Below are 18,322 nucleotides of genomic sequence, written 5' to 3'. Positions count from 1 at the left end.
GTGGGAGAAGGAGGGATGGAGGTGCTGAGGCATGAATGGGGGCAGTGGAGGCAGTGGATGTGGGACTCTTCTATGTTCTTCAGGTAAAGGGGCACCAGGTGGGGTTTGCAGATTGAAGACTTCTTCTTGGAGAGGGAGCCCCTGAGCATACTGGAGAACTGAAAGTCCATGAAAGACTGAAGAAAGGAAGAGATTGTTTTGATGTGAGGACCAAGAAGTGGGCCAGGTTGTGGAGGAGGCTGAAGGGATTCTAGCTGGGTCTCTACATTGATTTGCAATTTGGCACAAATCTATTCCCTTGATCAGTGGTTCTCAAACTGAAGATTCCATCAAAATCACTTGGAGGTTCTCTTTACAAATGTGGAGTCTGGGTTCCACCTCCAGAGATTCTGACTGGGGTAGGGCCTTGGAACCTGCATTTGAGCCACTCTCTTTAGAAGTTCAGATGCACGTGGCCAACAGATGACACTGCCTTGAGAGCTCCTCTGCCAAGGTCAAGAAAAAAACATTGCTTGTTGCCAATAAAGTGCCATGAACTCCTGCGCAAAATGATGAAAACTCCAGTTGAAGAGGCATCACTATAGATGTATTTTATTTAAAGCTAAAAGCAAACTCAGTTTTTCTGACTACAGAACTTTCTAACTTTATCCTCTGACCTTTGGAGCCAGTGACAAGGCCTGTTATTTTCCAATCCAGCATGCTCTGATTTTCCTAATCTGTAATTATTTTGCTTGTTTTTATTATTTGTCTGTAAGATCCATGTAGGGTGACAGCAATTCACTGCTCTGCCTTTTCCTAGCACAGTTCTCAAAGAAGGGATGGCTTTCTTTGGTTTCAGTTTTAACCAATGTGCTGCAGAAGTGGAAGGTAACCCATGCACGGCTAAAGCCACCTCCTGCTTGCAAGGCTCAGACTGAAGACCCACTTGACTTCTAGTGAGTGAACCCTAAACACACATTCTTTCTGAAGGATGTTCTATTGGGCAAGCAGGAATGCTGCAGACCAAGCCCACAGGCCGTTCAGGCACCAAACAGTCAAAGGCAAACTTGGTTCTCACGAAGCCTTTCATACCAAATAAGCAGATGGAGACCCCTTGAGCAGAACAGTCCATAAAAAGAAGGGTGAAATTGGCCGGGCATGGTGGCCCACACCTGTAATCCCAGCACTTTGGGAGGCCAAGGTGGGCAGATCACGAGGTCAGGAGATCGAGACCAGCCTGGCTAACATGGTGAAAACCCACTTCTGACTCTACTAAAAATACAAAAAATTAGCTGGGTGTGGTGGCAGGCACCTGTAGTCCCAGCTACTAGGGAGGCTGAGGCAGGAGAATCGCTTGAACCCTGGAGGCGGAGGTTGCAGTGAGCCAAGATCGCACCACTGCACTCCAGCCTGAACAACAGAGCGAGACTCTGTCTCAATTTAAAAAAAAAAAAAAAAAAAGGGTAAAATCAAAGATGTTGATCGCCACCACAGATGAGGGCATTTGGTCAAGGAAATGATTCCTTGGAGGGATTTTGAAAAACCAAATGTACTCAGAAAAAGAGCTCACTCACCTTGTTCATGGAGAGAGGGATATCTGCTAAACTAAGGGTAGAACAAGCAAAGACCAAGCAAAGACAGACACTGTACAACTGGAAGAAAGTGCCAATGAAGGAATCACAGCAGTGAAAGACGCTCTAGTCTAAATCACCAGGACTAGTTCGGGGTTGCTCTCCTTGACATCCTGGCCTGACCTACGTGATGGTAAAGAACATGCATCTGTGGGGGCAGACAGACTGGTTTTGCATGTCAGTTCTGCCACTTATTAGCTACGCAACCTTGGGCAAGTTTTCAACTTTCTAAGCTTCAATTTCCTCATCTGCAGAATGGAGATGGTTCTTACCTCATAGGGTTGCTATGAGAATTAAACTGGGCGATGCATTCAAAGCACACAGCCCAGAGCTTGGCACAACCTAGAGTTGTAATAAATATTAGCAATTATTAGTTCCTGTCCACAGGCTGCGATCTATATGGTGGTAGTGTCTGCAACCCATTTTCTTGGAGTCTCGAAGATGTAGATTATGTGCATAAAATCCAAACCAGGTTCAGCAAATGAAAGGAAGGCCTAGCCCCCAGGCTTACAACTCTAAAGTAGCTTAGACTGGCTGGGCGTGGTGGCTTACGCCTATAATCCCAGCACTTTGGGAGGCCAAGATGGGTGGATCACCTGAGGTCAGGAGTTCCAGACCAGCCTGGCCAACATGGCGAAACCCCATCTCTACTAAAAATACAAAAATTAGCTGGGTGTGGTGGTGCATGCCTATAATCCCAGCTACTCAGGAGGTTGAGGCAAGAAAAGTACTTGAACCCAGGAGGCAGAGGTTGCAGTCAGCTGAGATTGTGCCACTGCACTCCAGCCTGGGCCACAGAGCAAGACTCTGTCTCAAAAACAAATAAATAGAAAATAAAGCAGCTTAGATCAATTTATTCAAAAGCATTACTGCTGCAGTGGGAGTTGAAGATTTTCACATTATGGCAAAAGGAGCCCAAATATCTTTGATTCTTCACCCATCAGGAAAAAAATAAGAAGATAGGCATAGAAGAGGGGAAATTACCAAACAGCAAGGTAACTGACATTCCCCCAAATATTTATTTTTATTTTTTAAGATGGAGTCTCGCTCTGTAGCCCAAGCTGGGGTGCAATGGCACAATCTCAGCTCACTGCAACCTCTGCCTCCTGGGTTCAAGCGATTCCCCTGCCTCAGCCTCCCGAGTAGCTGGTATTACAGGAGTGTGCCACTACACCTGGTCAATTTTGTATTTTTAGTAGAGACAGGGTCTCACCATGTTGGCCAGGCTGGTCTCGAACTCCTGACCTCACATATCTGCCCACCTCAGCCTCCCAAAGTGTTGGGATTACAGGCGTGAGCCACTGCACCCGGCCATCTCCCAGATATTTACTTCTCCACCTCCTGCAACTATTTTTTAAATACTTCCTGAATCATCTCAATTTTTCCAAGTAAAACTATACATATTAGGTTTTAAAATATCTCATATTCCTATGGCACTTGTCCCCTTTACAAGGTACTTTCATTTAATCTCATTCAAACTCTACAAATGTTTGTAAGGAAGGCAGATATTTACCTACAGCTATGCTTCTCCAATCTGGCTGCAACCTAGAATTAACTAGGGACTTTCTAGAAATTCCATGCTCAGGCCATACCACAGACCAAGTAAACCAGAATCTTTGGGGGTGGGCCAGGCATGGGTATTTTTAGTTGTCCCCTCCAGTGATCTGACGAGTCTAATATGTAGCAGAAGCTGGGAACCACTAACTGTTCCTTTTGTTCCCCCAGCTCCAAAGACACCTCCTCATCTCCTTGTAGAAAGGAGATCAAGACTCCTTATTCGTCCATTGCAGAGCTAAGGAAACCAGGGCTCAGGAAGGTTAAGTGGTTTGCTGCTAAGAGGAAGGGCCAGAAACAGAATCCAAAACTCCGGACCCGGGGAGCATTCAACCCTGGCTTAATGTGCTTCTACTGCATGCCAGCCACTGAGCTATCCATTAACCAAGAATAGAAAAGACGCAGGAAATTATGCCATTCTATTACGGCACAGGATGCTATGGAGCCTGGGCTGGGGAGGTGGGGAAGGTGTTTCTAAACTTCATTTGTAAGCTGAATCTTAATGCCAAGAAGACGTGAGGCGATGGTGAGGGCCTGGAGAAGGGAGTGTGGAGGTTCAGAGTGGCCAGCAAGGATTTGGGAATGATATTAAAAATGTTCCTAAGTTGGCCAGGCGCAGTGGCTCATGCCTGTAATCCCAACACTTTGGGAGGCCAAGGCAGGCAGATCACCTGAGGTCAGGAGTTTGAGACCAGACTGGCCAACATGGCAAAACTCCATCTCTACTAAAAAAAAAAAAAAAAAAATACTGGGCCAGGCACAGTGGCTCATGCCTGTAATTCCAGCATTTGGGAGGCTGAGGCGGGTGGATCACCTGAGGTTGGGAGTTCGAGACCAGCCTGACCAACATGGAGAAACCCTGTCTCTACTAAAAATACAAAATTAGCTGGGCATGGTGGCACATGCCTGTAATCCCAGCTACTCGGGAAGCCGAGGCAGGAGAATCATTTGAACCCAGGAGGCAAATGTTGCGGTGAACTGAAGTCGCACCATTGCACTCCAACCTGGGTGAGAGTGAGACTCCACCTCAAAAAAAAAAAAAAAAAGTTCATAAGCTAATTAAGACCATTTCAACTGGCTGTGTGCACCTGTGCTCAGGCGATTCTGCAATCCTGGCCAGCGTCTGCCATTCAACCACTAACAAAATATCTCAGGTCTTTCTGGGTGCACTTAGCCAGTGGTTTACAGACTTGAGTGGGCAGCAGAGTTACCCAGAGAGCTCATGAAAACCCAGATTGCTGAGCTGTACCCCCAGAGTTTCTGATTCAGTTGGTCTGACATGGGACATGAGAATGTGTTTCTAACAGGTTCTCAGGTGAAGCTGATATACTGGTCTGGAGCCACACTGAAGAACCATTGTACGAGGGCAAAAACCTTAGAGGGCCTCGTGACCAGTGAAGAGGCTGAAGAAAAACCCAAGGTCCTCCACTGGCTGCTGGTAAATGTTTGTTTTATATCAGCAATAGAAATAAACCACTTACATTTGTTTTGAAACTCCTTGAGCTATTAAGACACTTCTTAATATTCCTGTCCAGCAAAAGTCATTGTCTACTAGGAAGAAGTCTATCTTCTTAGGCATGACCAGTTTTTCCAGGGGACATTTTGCTCAGAGAGAAACAAGAAGTGGTTTACATCCAAAAAATCTGGTCCTCAAAATAAACGAATTGAGCAGTAACTCTGTAACTATAGAGAAAGTTATCAAATATATTATGGGGACTGTAATGGCTGCCATTAGAACTGCCTGGTCAGTGGAACTTGAATATAATGAGAGATGTCTAATGTGATTATTACTAACTCTATGAGATGGATTCTAATTTATTCTCATTTTGCCGGTGAAGAAATGAAGGCTCAAAAAGATATAAGTAACTTTGACCAAGGTCACAGAACCAGCAAGTGACAAAGGTATGTAAAGCTGAAGCAGTGGTCTAGGGGAATAGCGGTGGATAAGGCCTCCCTAGAGGGCTGAAGTGAGGATTCCATGAGAGGAGGGATTTGCTTTTCCTCAAAACCACCTCCCTGCACTTCCTGGAGTTGAAGTAGGGAAAGTCCCCTGGGGTGAAGGAGCCCAGGGACCCTTCCTCTCCCGAGCAGCTCAGCGCAGGGGAGTCCTGGCTCAGTTCCACTGAGAAACAGGGAGGGCAATTTCCTCTGATCCTGCTGTGGCCATGAAAATACAAATTCTATACATTCTAATGAAAGAGAAGTCCCTTCGGTCTTCTGGAATCCCCTTAGATTGGCTGCTTCCCCTTGCTTGCCTGCTTTCTTCTTGAGATGATCTCACTCTGTCACCCAGGCTGGACTGCAATGATGTAAACATGGCTCACTGCAGCCTTGACCTCTTGAGATCAAGCGATCCTCCCACCTTAGCCTCTGGTGTAGTTGGGACTATAGGTGTGGACCACCATGCCCAGCTCATTTTTTGAATGTTTGTAGAGATGGGCAAGAAAGTGAGATCCCACTTTCTTGTCCAGGCTGGTCTCAAACTCCTGGGCTCAAACTATCCTCCTGTATCAGACTCCCAAAGTGCTAGGATTATAGGTGTGAGCTGCCACACCTGGCCTCCTGTGCCTTATTTCTTAATGAACAAGAAAAACCCACAGGATTTTGCTACTGGTCAGGCTTTGGTCAGCAAAACAAAAGAACATGATATATGGTCCTCATAATCACAGTGATGCAGGTAGACAGTGTTGGCTCATGAGACCATTTTCTTTAGCCCTCTTAGCATAGGGAGGACGAAGTTACTTCGTTTGTCTTCAGTTTCCTTGTCTGCAAAACGGGGATAATTGAGTACCCTCTCCTAGGTTATTATAAGGAGTCAATGAGTCAGTGTATTAGTTGGTTGGTATGAGTTGGGTCAAGCCAGCATCATCATCTGGGGACCTGCAGGAAATGCACATTCTTGGGCCCCATCCAGATCCACTGACTCAAACTGAGTATTTAACAAGACCTCCAGGTGGTTCTGATGTTTCCTCAAGTTTGACAAACACTGCATTTGAAAGTAAGCTCCATGAGGACAAGGATTTTTGTTGGTTTAATCCCTGCTGAACCCCCAGTGCCAAAACAATGCCTGGCATATTACAGGTACACTATCCAACAAATATTTGTTAAATGACTGAACGTGTCCAGATGAAACAGGAGAGGAAGAAAAACAGACTCAGAGAGCCTGGTATTTCTACTATATTTGCACAGCTCCTTGACTAGCTGTGCCTCTCACTAATTTGTAGTAAATTCTACGAGTTGGAGACTCTATTGTGTATCACCATTGCACTCCCAGCAATTAGCCCACCTCACCACAATAGGCTCTTGATAACATCCTACTAAAGGCCTCAAGGTCTCCCGGCTTCAAATCTAGGTCCGCACCACCACTGTCGACAGGTGTCACCAGGTCTGTCCCTCCACCTTCCTAAAAGAGCTCTAGAGAACATCAAACCCCCAGTCATAATGCGATTTATCTATTTAACTATTTCCCAGTCTCCATCCCCCGCGTGCACACCCCATTGCAGCAGGGACTTTGCTCTGATCCTCCGCTCTGGCAACAGAGTCTGAGCACAGTAGGCACTCCATAAATACCTGCTGAGTGAATGGCCAACCCCCCGCTGGGTGGGACGTGATAAATGCCAATGCCCTTCCTGCAACACCACCATGCTCAAATCAGCAGGTCCTCAAACAGCTCTCAAACAGCGCAAAAGGGAAGACTGAGTGAGGGGACATGATATCAAAGCAGTTACAAATGAGTTCCAGAGACCTCCAGTTCCTGCATCAGCCTTTTTAGCTCTGCCATGACAACTGCAATTCATTACCCTGATTCACACACAGCCCTGGTGCCAGCTCACTGGCAAGAGTCGCTTCACTCCAGAAATTCCAAAGAAGGGCTTGCCCCTGATAAGACTGGGGGAGGAGGGGAGTTTACTGATTCATATAATGAGTGCTGCCAAGGTGGTTTGCGAGCTCTAATGTCAGTGTGGCTCAGGTGAGCCATGGCCCGCCAGGAAGAGACCTGAGTTGGCAAGGAAGAAACAGGGGTTTTAGTTCCTCTACCGTTACCAATGCACAGGAGGGTAGGTTGGCCTAACTGGAAAGGGCTCCCATATGAAGGCATGATAGGCGCTAAGACTTTCTATGTTGGATGTCATATCCTCACCATGACTCTCAGGGGTAGGTAGGTTCTATTCTTATCCTTGTTTTATAGCTGAGAAGGAACTGGTTCAAGGTCACTTACTTTTTTTTTTTTTTTTTGAGACGAAGTTTTGCTCTTGTTGCCCAGGCTGGAGTGCAATAGCACAATCTCGACTCACTGCAACCTCCGTCTCCCAGGTTCAAGCGACTCTCCTGCCTCAGCCTCCCGAGTAGCTGGGATTACAGGCGCCTGCTACCACGCCTGGCTAATTTTTTTGTATATTTAGTAGAGATGGTGTTTCACCATGTTGACCAGGGTGGTCTTGAACTTCTGACCTCAGGTGATCCACCCACCTTGGCCTCCCAAAGTGCTGGAATTACAGGTGTCAGCCACTGCACCCAGTCCCACTTACTATTTTAAAGTGACAAAGCCAGACTTGACTCAGTGTCCTCTAATGATCTTTATGGAGAGCTTATCTACTACAGGGAATCGTGAATCGTGTGGTATGCAATCCCATGTTTGGGTGGAACAACAAACACATACACATTTTTTTCCATAGTGGAAAAATGAGCTTGTCACTTGACTTGTCTCTCGGCCTCAGTTTCCTCATTTGCAAAATGCCATAAAAATATGATGAGCAATAGTGTTTGGCACGTGACAGACAATGGATAAGGATCTTTAAAGACAATCATGATTATTTATCACCATTATCACCAGGTGCCAGTTATTGTTCTCACTGTTAGTGATACAAAGACAAACAATGCACTTAGAAGAAATTCCTGGAATACAGTGAAATGCTCACAGCCCGACTCTCCAAGAAAAGCCACGACAGATGTAGGACTGGAAGGCTGTCCCAGGGTCATCTCATCCTAGCAGCCACCTGATGCCTGCATCTTGACATTTTATCCTTCCAAGTCTGTTACCCGTCAGTGGATCCCAGGGGCTACCCCAGGGACGAATCCAACAAGTAACCACCACTGGGCGGGGAGGAAGCCAGTGTGGGGGTTGCTACCAAAACAGGCCTGGGCAACAGCAGGCAGCCGACTGGGGAAAGTCAGCAGCTGCAGTTGGCCTGGTGTCCTCGCTGCCAGAGAGTGATGAATGGAGCAAGAGAAGAAAAAAAAAGCCAACAAAGGTGTCCCTAATCTTGATGCAGCTTCATTTTTTTTTTTTTTTCTGGCTGACCATTGAGTGAGAACTTAAGCCTCCGTCCCTTTTCTTTGGCAGACATTTGAAACTGAAAGATCTCATTTCTTCCCAACAGTGAGATGTCATGGGTAGAAGCATTGAGCAGGCAACTGGCAAGGGGTGGGGGGTGGGGAGAATGGGCATGTGACCCACCACACTTGTCCTTTTTCTTTCCCTCCTCCCCACTCTCTGCTCCACCCCCTCTTCCCCATCCTGCATCTTTAGAGAATATTCTCCGCACACAACAGTGAACGCCTGCCCCCTCCTCCCGCCACCCCATTATTATTTTTCTGCTCAGGAACTAAAGGCTAAATGGCCTGCTGGGGAAGGTCTAATAACAAAATGTCACTGTATCCAGTTTCTTAGTTTTCTCTTTCTTTATCTCACTCTGAAACGGATTCGAGGCAGCAGCAACTGAACCTTTGCTGTTCTACCTAAAGGTGTGCAGCCAGCTGGCCATCTCCATGCTGGGAGAGGCAAGACGGGAGTTTTTTGCCCAGATCTAGCCCTCAGCCCTGTCCAAGTGGAGGTGCTTCCCTTAGCAAATAGCGAGGAGCTGGTGATAGGGATGTCACCAGGCCACTTCTCCAAGTGAAGTGGATTCCTCTTATCCAGGGCCCCTTGCTGAACTGGAGGCTGCAGAGCCTCATCACCTAGCACCACATGTGGCTGGAGAGAGCTCCTGATACACGTCATGGACAGCCACCTGACATTAGGTCGGCATTCCCTGCAAGTGCCACTGAAGCCTGATCAAGGCTTCTGCCACTGAGGGAACCGTGCAGCAAGACGGTGGCCACCTTCGACTCACACTTATTCTAGCCCTGTTTCTCCTTACGTGCACCTGAACTTGGCGTGCCAACCTTCCAGGTAACTAAGGCAACCTGATTCTCTTCCCTTCAAAAGGGCAGTGTTCTTCTCACAGCAATCTGGGACCCCAGGGAATTGGAAAATTGGGTCAGTTTGGATAAGCCCTCTCCCCGGGAGGGGGAGGGATGGCGACAGAGAGGAACGGCCTTGGCTACTCATTCCCTGGCTGTTGGGAGCATTTACCCAAGCGACTTGGAAAGGACTGTGAACTCCTTGTACACACTGCATCCTTCAAAGAGTCCCTCTGCCTCCATCTCTCTCTCTTCTCCCATCCCCAAAGCTCTGGTTAGCCAGCTGCTCCCAGAAGGTGGAGTTTATGCCAAACAGTCTCCTAAGCTGCCATGAGGATCTCACTGGCTTCTCTGGTTAAGGCTCCTTAGCAAAGTCTCTCCCTGAGATCCACATCAGGTTCACCCATTTTAAGAATAAATGGTAACTCTCAAGCCCAGCTGTCAACAGGGCACTCTGGGGCCCTGAGATGGATTAATAAGCCAGGACAGAGCCAGACCAGGCTACAGCTAGTATGAGTGTAGATGCAAGAATCCAGCTAGGTGGGCTCCAGTCCTGGATGCAACACCTGTTGGTGATCTTGAGCAAGTTACTAAACCTTTTTTTTTGAGATGGCGTTTCGCCCTTGTTGCCCAGGCTAGAGTGCAGAGGCGCGATCTCAGCTCACTGCAACCTCCGCCTCCTGGGTTCAAGCGATTCTCCTGTCTCAGCCTCCTGAGTAGCTGGGATTACAGGTGCGTGCCACCACACCTGGCTAATATTTTGCATTTTTAGTAGAGACGTGGTTTCACCATGTTGGCCAGGCTGGTCTTGAACTCCTGACCTCAGGTGATCCACCCACCTCGACCTCCCAAAGTGCTGAAATTACAGGAGTGAGCCACTGCGCCCGGCCGGTTACTTAACCTTTCTAAATTTCAGTTCCCTCATCTGAAGTACTTACCCCATATGGCTGTTGAAAAGATAAAATGAGGTCACAAAATAGAATGCTTAGCTCAGTGGGCAGCAGAGAGTAAACACTCAATAGATGCTGGTATTGACTATTATTTTATTCTTCTCTGGGTTACCAAATCTCTTGCTTCTCCCTATTATCTATCCTAGTGTTTTTAAACCTCATTTCTTTCTTAATAATTGACATAGGATGTTCCCAGGCATGGTAGACTCCCATGGAATACGTAGATCTTAAACTCAAGCCTCAGAAAAAGATAAAAAGCCCTCTAATCACTTGTATGTAAGTATTATTATTATACATCTACAGGTATTAGTGGATCATTAAGAGCAGCAGCATGGAGAATAAAGAGGTTCTGGGTAACTTCCCTGGCAGACTGGTTATAACTCTCACTTAAGAAACCTTGTTGGGTGGGGCACAGTGGCTCACACCTGTAATCCTAACACTTTGGGAGGCTGAGGCAGGCGGATAACTTGAGGTCAGGAGTTCGAGACCAGCCTGGCCAACATGGTGAATCCCTGTCTCTACTAAAAATACAAAAATTAGCTGGGTGAGGTGGCATGCACCTGTAATCCCAGCTACTCGGGAGGCTGAGGCACGAGAATTGCTTGAACCCGGGAAGTAGAGGTTGCAATGAGCTGAGATTGCACCACCGCACTCCAACCTGGGTGACTGAGCAAGACTCAGTCTCAAAATAAAATAAAATAAAATAAAACAAAGCTTGTTGGAATATGACATTAGACTGACAATAACTCTAAATCCATTTTAATTGATTATAAAAATAGGAATTCACTTGCAATCACTGGAAATGTAATCATTTGACATACAGCAAATTCCTATGACACAACTCACAAATGATTGTGACGCACGATGAATGCAACTTCCTGGTCTATACAATCAAAAACGATTATGGAGAATAATGCAGCCATGCACATAAAATATGTGTGAATTATTATCATTGATGAGAAGGACATAGATCTGACTTTTAGTAAAAAATTTATATAAGAGAAAGAGAAAAAAGAAACTTTTACTAGACTCGAGGTTGGCATTTATTTTCTGTGTGACCTTGGGCAAGTCACTTGTCTCTGGTTCTCAATTTCTTTTTTTTTTTTTTTTTTTTTGAGATGGAGTTTCGCTCTTGTTGCCCAGGATGGAGTGCAATGGCGCGATCTTGGCTCACCACAACCTCCACCTCCCGGATTCAAGCGATTCTCCTGCCTCAGCCTCCCGAGTAGCCGGGATTACAGGCATGCACCGCCATGCCTGGCTAATTTTGTACTTTTAGTAGAGATGGGGTTTCTCCATATTGGTCAGGCTGGTCTCGAACTCCTGACCTCAGGTGATCTGCCCGCCTCAGCCTCCCAAAGTGCTGGGATTATAGGCATGAGCCACCGCACCAGGCTGGTTCTCAATTTCATCAGTGAAATGAGAGGCCTGGATTTCACGAACAGAAAGGTCCACTCCAGCTGCAAAATTGGGTAGATATGCAGCATCCATTTGATGCTGCTGTTTCACAGGTACGTTCTAGGAAAAGTTAAAGGAACTGGCATTCCTCAGTGTCCCCTGCATGTCAGACTTCAGGCTTGCTGCCCTACCTACCTTCACTTACTTATCACCCATAACTACCCTTGATGGTTGATGGACATCTTTCCATTCATTAGAAGGCAAACGCAAGGTTCAGGGACAATATGTCAATTACCAAGGTAACTCAGGTAGCAAGTGGCAGATCCAAGATTCCAGGAGCCAAAGACTCACTTATCTACATTTGCCCTCTAGGTGCCCATGACCTGACCACACCAGAATGGTCACAGGTAAGTGAAATCATGCCTGTTTTGGCTCCATTTCCCAAGGCCAAATTCCTTAGGCACTGGAGCAGTGGTCTTGATTCTGCAGCTAACTCAGCAGGAAGTAAAATGAGGCAGTGGTTAGAAATGTGTGTTCTGGTGTGAGCCCGCCTAGTATTCACATCACAGCTCCACAAAGGTTGAGGGGCTTTACCAAGCCTCCCTGAGCATTGGGTAGTTCAGGTGGGTAATAATTGTACCTAGTCCCAGGGTTGTTAGGAGGATTTAAAGAGATAACCTATGTAAAGCTCTCAGCAGACTGCCTGAATATAGTAAATACCCAATCATTATTTGCTACCTAGCTAAACAGGAGGCCTTTCCATGGTGACAAGCAATTTCCAAGCTTATCTATGGCAGGGGTTATGAACCTGGGGTCCAGGAGGTCCCTGAAATTATGTGCAAAAACCTTTTCTCTAGGAAGAGTTCTGAACCTTTATCAGTCTCATAAGGGTCTGTGACCTGACAGAGGTTTAGACTTTTTGACTGCTGTAGACCTGACTTCCTACCATATCAATTATTTCTGAAATAACAGGGTTAGCAAAAGATCCTCAAGTCATGGGAGAAGTTGCTGGATCCTCTCAGCATGGCCTCTCCAGCCATGTGTGCCTCCGGTACTTACCATACAGACCCAGAAACTGCCCAGAATTCCCAGGTGGTTCCTATGAGAAGGTCTGAATACAAATCGCACAACAAGAAGGAATCAGGCTGCAGGAACCTTCTCTGGGAGGGCCAGCCCCAAAGATCTATTCTTCCTCCGAGAACAATCGGTGCATTTGTTTTGCATACCACGAAGTGAAATACACAGGACGCTGGCCCCTTCGCTAGAGCTCACAAAAGCACCCAGAGTTACTCCGCAAAAGGAGCACGGCTCCAAGGTGCTGTTCAGACCTGATCCACAGCACCTGATTCCCGAAGGGCCTGTCACCTTCCCAGGCTGGCCTTGACTCAGGAAAAGCCTGTGGTGCTGCTGGAGCCTTTGGCCCAGTGGGCAGGACCCAAGCTGCCCACTGGACCCTCTCCGGTTGTTGGGACAACCATCCTCAGGAATTTCGGCCTCCCAGTCTTCCCCTGGGTGAGAAGGGGAGAGAGTTGGCAAGGCTGGCTGCTTGGCTGCTCTTCCAACCCCCTGGTGAAAGGGGAAGCTGAAAACTGGATTCCCTACCCCCAGCAGCTCCTGGCCGGCCAGCACACAAAACAGCTCAGCCCCAGAGGGAGGAATGTGCCAAGACATTCTTTAGGGTTGGTAACCAGAGACGCTATTTTGTCCTTGGTGGCTAAGAAATCACTTTTCTGACTGAAGGACCATTTGACTTACTTCTTTTAAATTCAGGGGAATGGGTGGGCATCTCCATGATTCAGGTAAGGAAAAATCCAAGGCAAATAAACACACACACACACACACACACACACACACACACACGGAGTAGAAATTTTTAGTGCAATTTTTTGTCTCACAGCATTAATTAATTGCAGGGATATAACTACCTTGGCAGAATTTTTTCTCCCCAACCCACCACCCCCCGGAATAAGTTTGGCTCTTTTCAGCTTTGTTAAATTTCTTCTTCCTTTTTCTCATAGCCCATCCCTGTTCCCCCTTCTCCTCTCATGGAGTCTGGAGAGGTAAGAGCGGCAGAAGGGTTTGAAATAATATTTAAGAGCTGGCAGGCCCTTGAAGACCATCTAACCAACCCACTTCTCAAGCACTCAAACCTCAGAGAGGTCAAGTGATTTGCCCAAGGCCACACAGACAGAACTAAAAGGCAAAAATGGGGTATGCCGGAGGGAAATTCCAGAAAACCACAAGTGGCTATCCTCCAATTAGCACTTTTCCAAAACATACAAAGCTGGACCACAATAGTGACCCCCAGAGTTGACATGAGACCCCCTCAGGACCCCAAGTTCAGGGGCCCAATACCACCCCAGTCCAGGTGGGATGACAAGGAGGTACAGAGATGAAGTTTATAAACCAGTGACCCAAGGCCAAGCGTGGTGGCTCACGCCTGTAATCCTAGCACTTTGGGAGGCTGAGGTGGGCGGATTGCCTGAGCTCAGGAGTTCAAGACTAGCCTGGGCAACACAGTGAAACCCCATCTCTACTAAAATACAAAAAATTGGCTGGATGTGGTGGCGTGCACCTGTAGTCCCAGCTACTCGGGAGGTTGAGGCAGGAGAATCGCTTGAACCCAGGAGGCAGACTTGCAGTGAGCCAAGATCGCACCACTGGACTCCAGCCTGGGCGACAGAGCGAGACTCTGTCTCCAAAAAACAAAAACAAATAAACAAAAAAACCAAAAGCAAACAAAAAAACCAATGACACAAGATGAAGAAGGTGAGCTGCTCACCTAAGTGCCACTATGTTTCTGCCGCCTCTCCATGGCTTGCCAATCTGCTTAAAAACAAAGGCTGGGCAGGTGAGGTGCTGTGGCCTTAGGCTGGCCACAGTACCTAGCTAAAATATACTAACCCTGGTTTTTTGTTTTTTTTGTTTGCCTATCTTTTTTGTTTCCCCTGTATGACAATAGATATAACTAGTTTCCCATTTGTGAAAATGGTACACATATTTTTAAAGTGAGTTGATCTAAAGTCAAGGAGTAAGTAAGCAATAGCACAGGTGGATATAGCAAAAAAAAATCATGGAGGTGGTCCATGTAACACTAAAATTTGGGAGATTGTGCTCCAGCCAATCAGTTCTTCATAGAAGCTACTTACTTACCCTTTTCCAAGGGTAAAGAATTACTGTTGAGAGGGGCCTCCTATTGCTGTATTAGAAGTCCCCAGATGCATGATTATCAGTGTTGGCAGGGGCGGTCCTTTCCCTCCAACAGGACGTCCACCTGCTAACAGCACACAGGCCTCCGTAAACTACAGGGACCTAAATTGGGGCAGGTCACATATGTTTGAACTTGTGTCTGTTCTGAGAAAAGGACAAGAGAAAAGGTGCTGCCAAGTTCACCAACACAGTAGCAGAGCTGGCAACTGACCCGAGTAAGGGTGGGGAAGCAGTGTGTCAGGGTGACAAGTTTGCAGGTTAGAACTTCAGAGCTGGTGAAGAACTGGTACGCAGAATGGCAGAAAAATCAAAATACTTGAGCAAATCACACCTCTGGGCTTCAAATTTTCTCTTATGTTTCAAATGGGAGTTGGGCGCTGATGTACGTCCCTTCCAAGTTTTAAGCATCCCAATATTCCCTTCCAAGCAAACTTTTTAAATTCAGGGAAATGGTGGGCTCCCCCATCTGACAAACAGGGAAACTGAGGCTCAGAGGTTGAAGCAGCTTGCCTAAGAGATGCTCTCTAGCACTAAATATTTACCTTCCAGATTACATTCATGAGACATTCAGCATGGTGCTGAGTGTAGAGGAGGCATCCAGGAAGCGCTGAATGAACGAATGAATGAATGAATGAAAGTAAGTGCTCCCAGAAACTACCGAGAATCTCAACTCTCATTTTCTTTCCGCTTATATTCTTTTTTTGACCCACATCTTGCTACATACACTTCTGGGACACCTCCACCCCCACCACACAAGATGAAGAGTCCAAGAAATTCACCTTGGTTGCTTTACAGGGACCTGACCCCCAAGGTCACAGACAAGGTTTAAAGTCCGCATTCCCCAAGACACTCTGCCCACAGACCGTGTCAACAACATCGTGGTCCGGGGACTCTAGGACATACATGGAGAGGGTGAATGTATGTGTGTGTGTGCAGCATGTGAGCAAAGAAATGCCAAACAACCAGGAGAAAGTCTGGAGAGGTAAGAGCCACACCGAGCTATCTCAGGCTCCATCTGCCTCTGCACATTATCTCAACCTACAGCGGCCTGGTACCCACCAAGGTCAGGTCCCGCTGGTGCAGGGCTGAGGAGCCTCGCCGCCCCCTTCCCCGATCAGGGAAGAAAGAGAGGAGAAAGAGGCGAGGGGCAAGGCTTTCCGGGAGGCCTCTCACCTCCATCTCCATCCTAACAGCTTCCAAGTTGCTGCCAGATTCCTGGATAACCAGTCTCCCTCATCTGCCCTCCCCCGCTTCTTCACTTCCTCCCCACCCTCGGGTTCCAGGGCCCCCTGGCTGCCCCTGTGCTGTTCTCAGCAGCTTCCAAGGCACCTGTCAAAAAGCACACCTCAGGTTGCCTTCCTCTGCGCCGAGTGCCCTCTCTCCAGTGGTCTCCCACGGAATCCTGGGGTCTTGACCACCCCCTCTAACCGGACACTTCCCCATCCCCATCCGCCCACCCCCCACGCTGGGTGGAAGCCTCCCCGGGAAGACCCGGCTTCACCCGGCTAGGTCGCTCCCCCAACCCCCGCCCCCGCCCGACCTCTCTTCCTAAAGGGGGCGGGCGGGGCTAGAGCTTAAGGTCAAAACTCCGGGCAGGTGCCGGCTGGGGCCTAAGTCCTCCAACTGGGGATGGCGGTGGGGCAGCCTGGGCCAGCTCCCCGGCAGGCGCCTCCTCTCGGTGGCCCACTGAGGCGGGAGCAGCGCTCCAGAAGGTTGGGGGGAGCAGGGGGTGGCGAACTGAAGAGAGCTCAAGAGGCACGCAGAGCTCCCCTGCCCCCTCCCAGTCCCGGCCGGCGGCTCCAGGGGCAGGTGGGGGCCCAGGCGGGGGTGTGGGGGCACGGAGGAGGGTTCCAGGGTCCTACCTGTCCCGCGGGTCGATCCAGCTGGTGGTGCGGTTCGTGTGGTCTATGTAGTAGACCTTGCCGTCGAAGTCGCGCGCCTCCTCCCAGCCCTCCGGCAGGGGCAGCTCCGGCCGGGGCATCTTCCCAAGCGCTGCCGGCGCTCCCCCATGCAGCTCCCGGCCGCAGCGGGGGCTCAGCGGCTCCAGCCGGCCGCTCTTAGCCCGGGCGGCCGCCGAGGCACCATGATCCGGGGGGTGGCGCCCGCAGATGGGGGGCCCTAGTAGGGGCCGGCCGGGGTGGCGCCGCTGTCCATGCGGCCCTGCAGCCCCGACCCGGCGCCGCCCGCTCCTCCCGCCGCCGGCCTCTCACGCTGCCATGTGCGTCCGCAGCGGCGCGGTGCGAGCCCGGGTGCGCGCCCAGCCGGCCGGGCAGAGCGAGCCGAGCGCCGCCGCCGCCGCCGTCTGCCCTCCTCCGCCGCGCGGCGCGCTGCGCCCTCCACGCCGCCGCTGCCGCTGCCGCCTCCCTCCTCCCTGCAGCCGGGTGCCGTCCCTCCTCTCCGCTCCACCGCTCTGAGCTCGCCGGGTTTGTGACTTCTGCCTCCGCCAGGTGCGGCTCGGGCGGTGCAGGTAACCGCGCTGCCCCGGAAACGGGAGGCGGAGCGCCGGGCGCCTGGGTTCCCGGGTCCCCTCCCCGCGCGCAGCGCCTCGAGGGCGGGTCCTAGGGCCCGAGACGCGCCCCCTCGTGGGACAGTCCCAGCCGCCGGCCACCCTTACGCTGCCCCTGCCAGGGGAAGGAGAGACCGCCCCTCACCTGCGTCCCAGACCTAGGGGGCTGGGCCAAAAACCGCTCTGCCTGTACTTAAAACGCTCCTGTCTCTCTCCACCCGGAGTAGCCAGGCTCTCGGCACAGGTGGCCCCAAATCTTAAAAACTCCCTGCTTTTCTGTGGTGTAGAATCAGGAGTCAGGCAAGAAGTGGTTAAATGGAAACATTCTTGCGAATTGGGAAACATAAGTTTTCCAGGATCTCTGGTCCCTTCCCCCAACACAGGCACCATCTGTCTCCTTCTATTCAACTCTCCCTACGACGTTTCGCCCACCCTCCACCCTTCCCCACCATTTGGAAATGTAGCTGGCTCCCCTCAGGGTCCCTAAAATTAGGAGCGCTGTGGATCCGCTTTCCTGGGAGGACTTCCAGAGGGTGTCAGGGAAAACACTTTGTAAAAGTAATAGTAATGCCATTGTTATTGTTAGCTAAATTGAGGACTTACTTGTGACAGGCTGTGGCTAGCAGCTTCACAGGCTTTCTTTCCTGTGATACTTTGAGGTAGGTGTGTTATGGATTTGGGAGAAGTGGGGCTATGAAAAAGAAGAAAGTAAGCAAAGCAAAATTCCATCTTGAAAAATGTTCAAGAGAATAAAACAATCAGAGACACAATGTTTCTTGAGAAATTAAAAATGTAGAATTAGTGGGTGCGGTGGCTCACGCCTGTAATCCCAGCACTTTGGGAGGGTGAGGCAGACAGATTACCTGAGGTCAGGATTTCAGACCAGCCTGGCCAACATAGTGAACCCCATC

At 49.1% G+C, this 18,322-nt stretch overlaps 1 protein-coding gene across 17 annotated transcripts in view, besides 2 other annotated features; it reads right to left on the bottom strand.

Moving 5' to 3' along the window:
- Window positions 1–17,394, bottom strand: part of WWC1 (WW and C2 domain containing 1) — a 180,659-nt gene extending 163,265 nt beyond the window's left edge. For 16 of the 17 annotated variants that reach the window (XM_011534485.2, XM_011534486.2, XM_011534488.2 and 13 more), the window contains exon 1: window positions 16,768–17,394. In XM_011534485.2, coding sequence (XP_011532787.1) covers window positions 16,768–16,886 — 119 coding nt within the window. In that variant the 5' untranslated portion in view covers window positions 16,887–17,394. Of the gene's footprint in view, window positions 1–12,754; window positions 16,334–16,767 lie in introns of those variants that run through there. The other variant, XM_047417019.1, reaches the window with a different exon arrangement.
- Window positions 16,582–17,001: a silencer, noted in NCBI's record as "silent region_16595". NCBI's record gives its function as "represses an Ori minimal core promoter by ATAC-STARR-seq in GM12878 lymphoblastoid cells {active_cell/tissue: GM12878}" and the evidence as "EXISTENCE:reporter gene assay evidence [ECO:0000049][PMID:35858748]".
- Window positions 17,102–17,621: a silencer, noted in NCBI's record as "silent region_16594". NCBI's record gives its function as "represses an Ori minimal core promoter by ATAC-STARR-seq in GM12878 lymphoblastoid cells {active_cell/tissue: GM12878}" and the evidence as "EXISTENCE:reporter gene assay evidence [ECO:0000049][PMID:35858748]".

This window comes from Homo sapiens, chromosome 5 (genome assembly GCF_000001405.40).
Source record: "Homo sapiens chromosome 5, GRCh38.p14 Primary Assembly".
NCBI classification, from domain to species: domain Eukaryota; kingdom Metazoa; phylum Chordata; class Mammalia; order Primates; family Hominidae; genus Homo; species Homo sapiens.
This window is presented reverse-complemented; position numbering and strand designations above follow the sequence as displayed.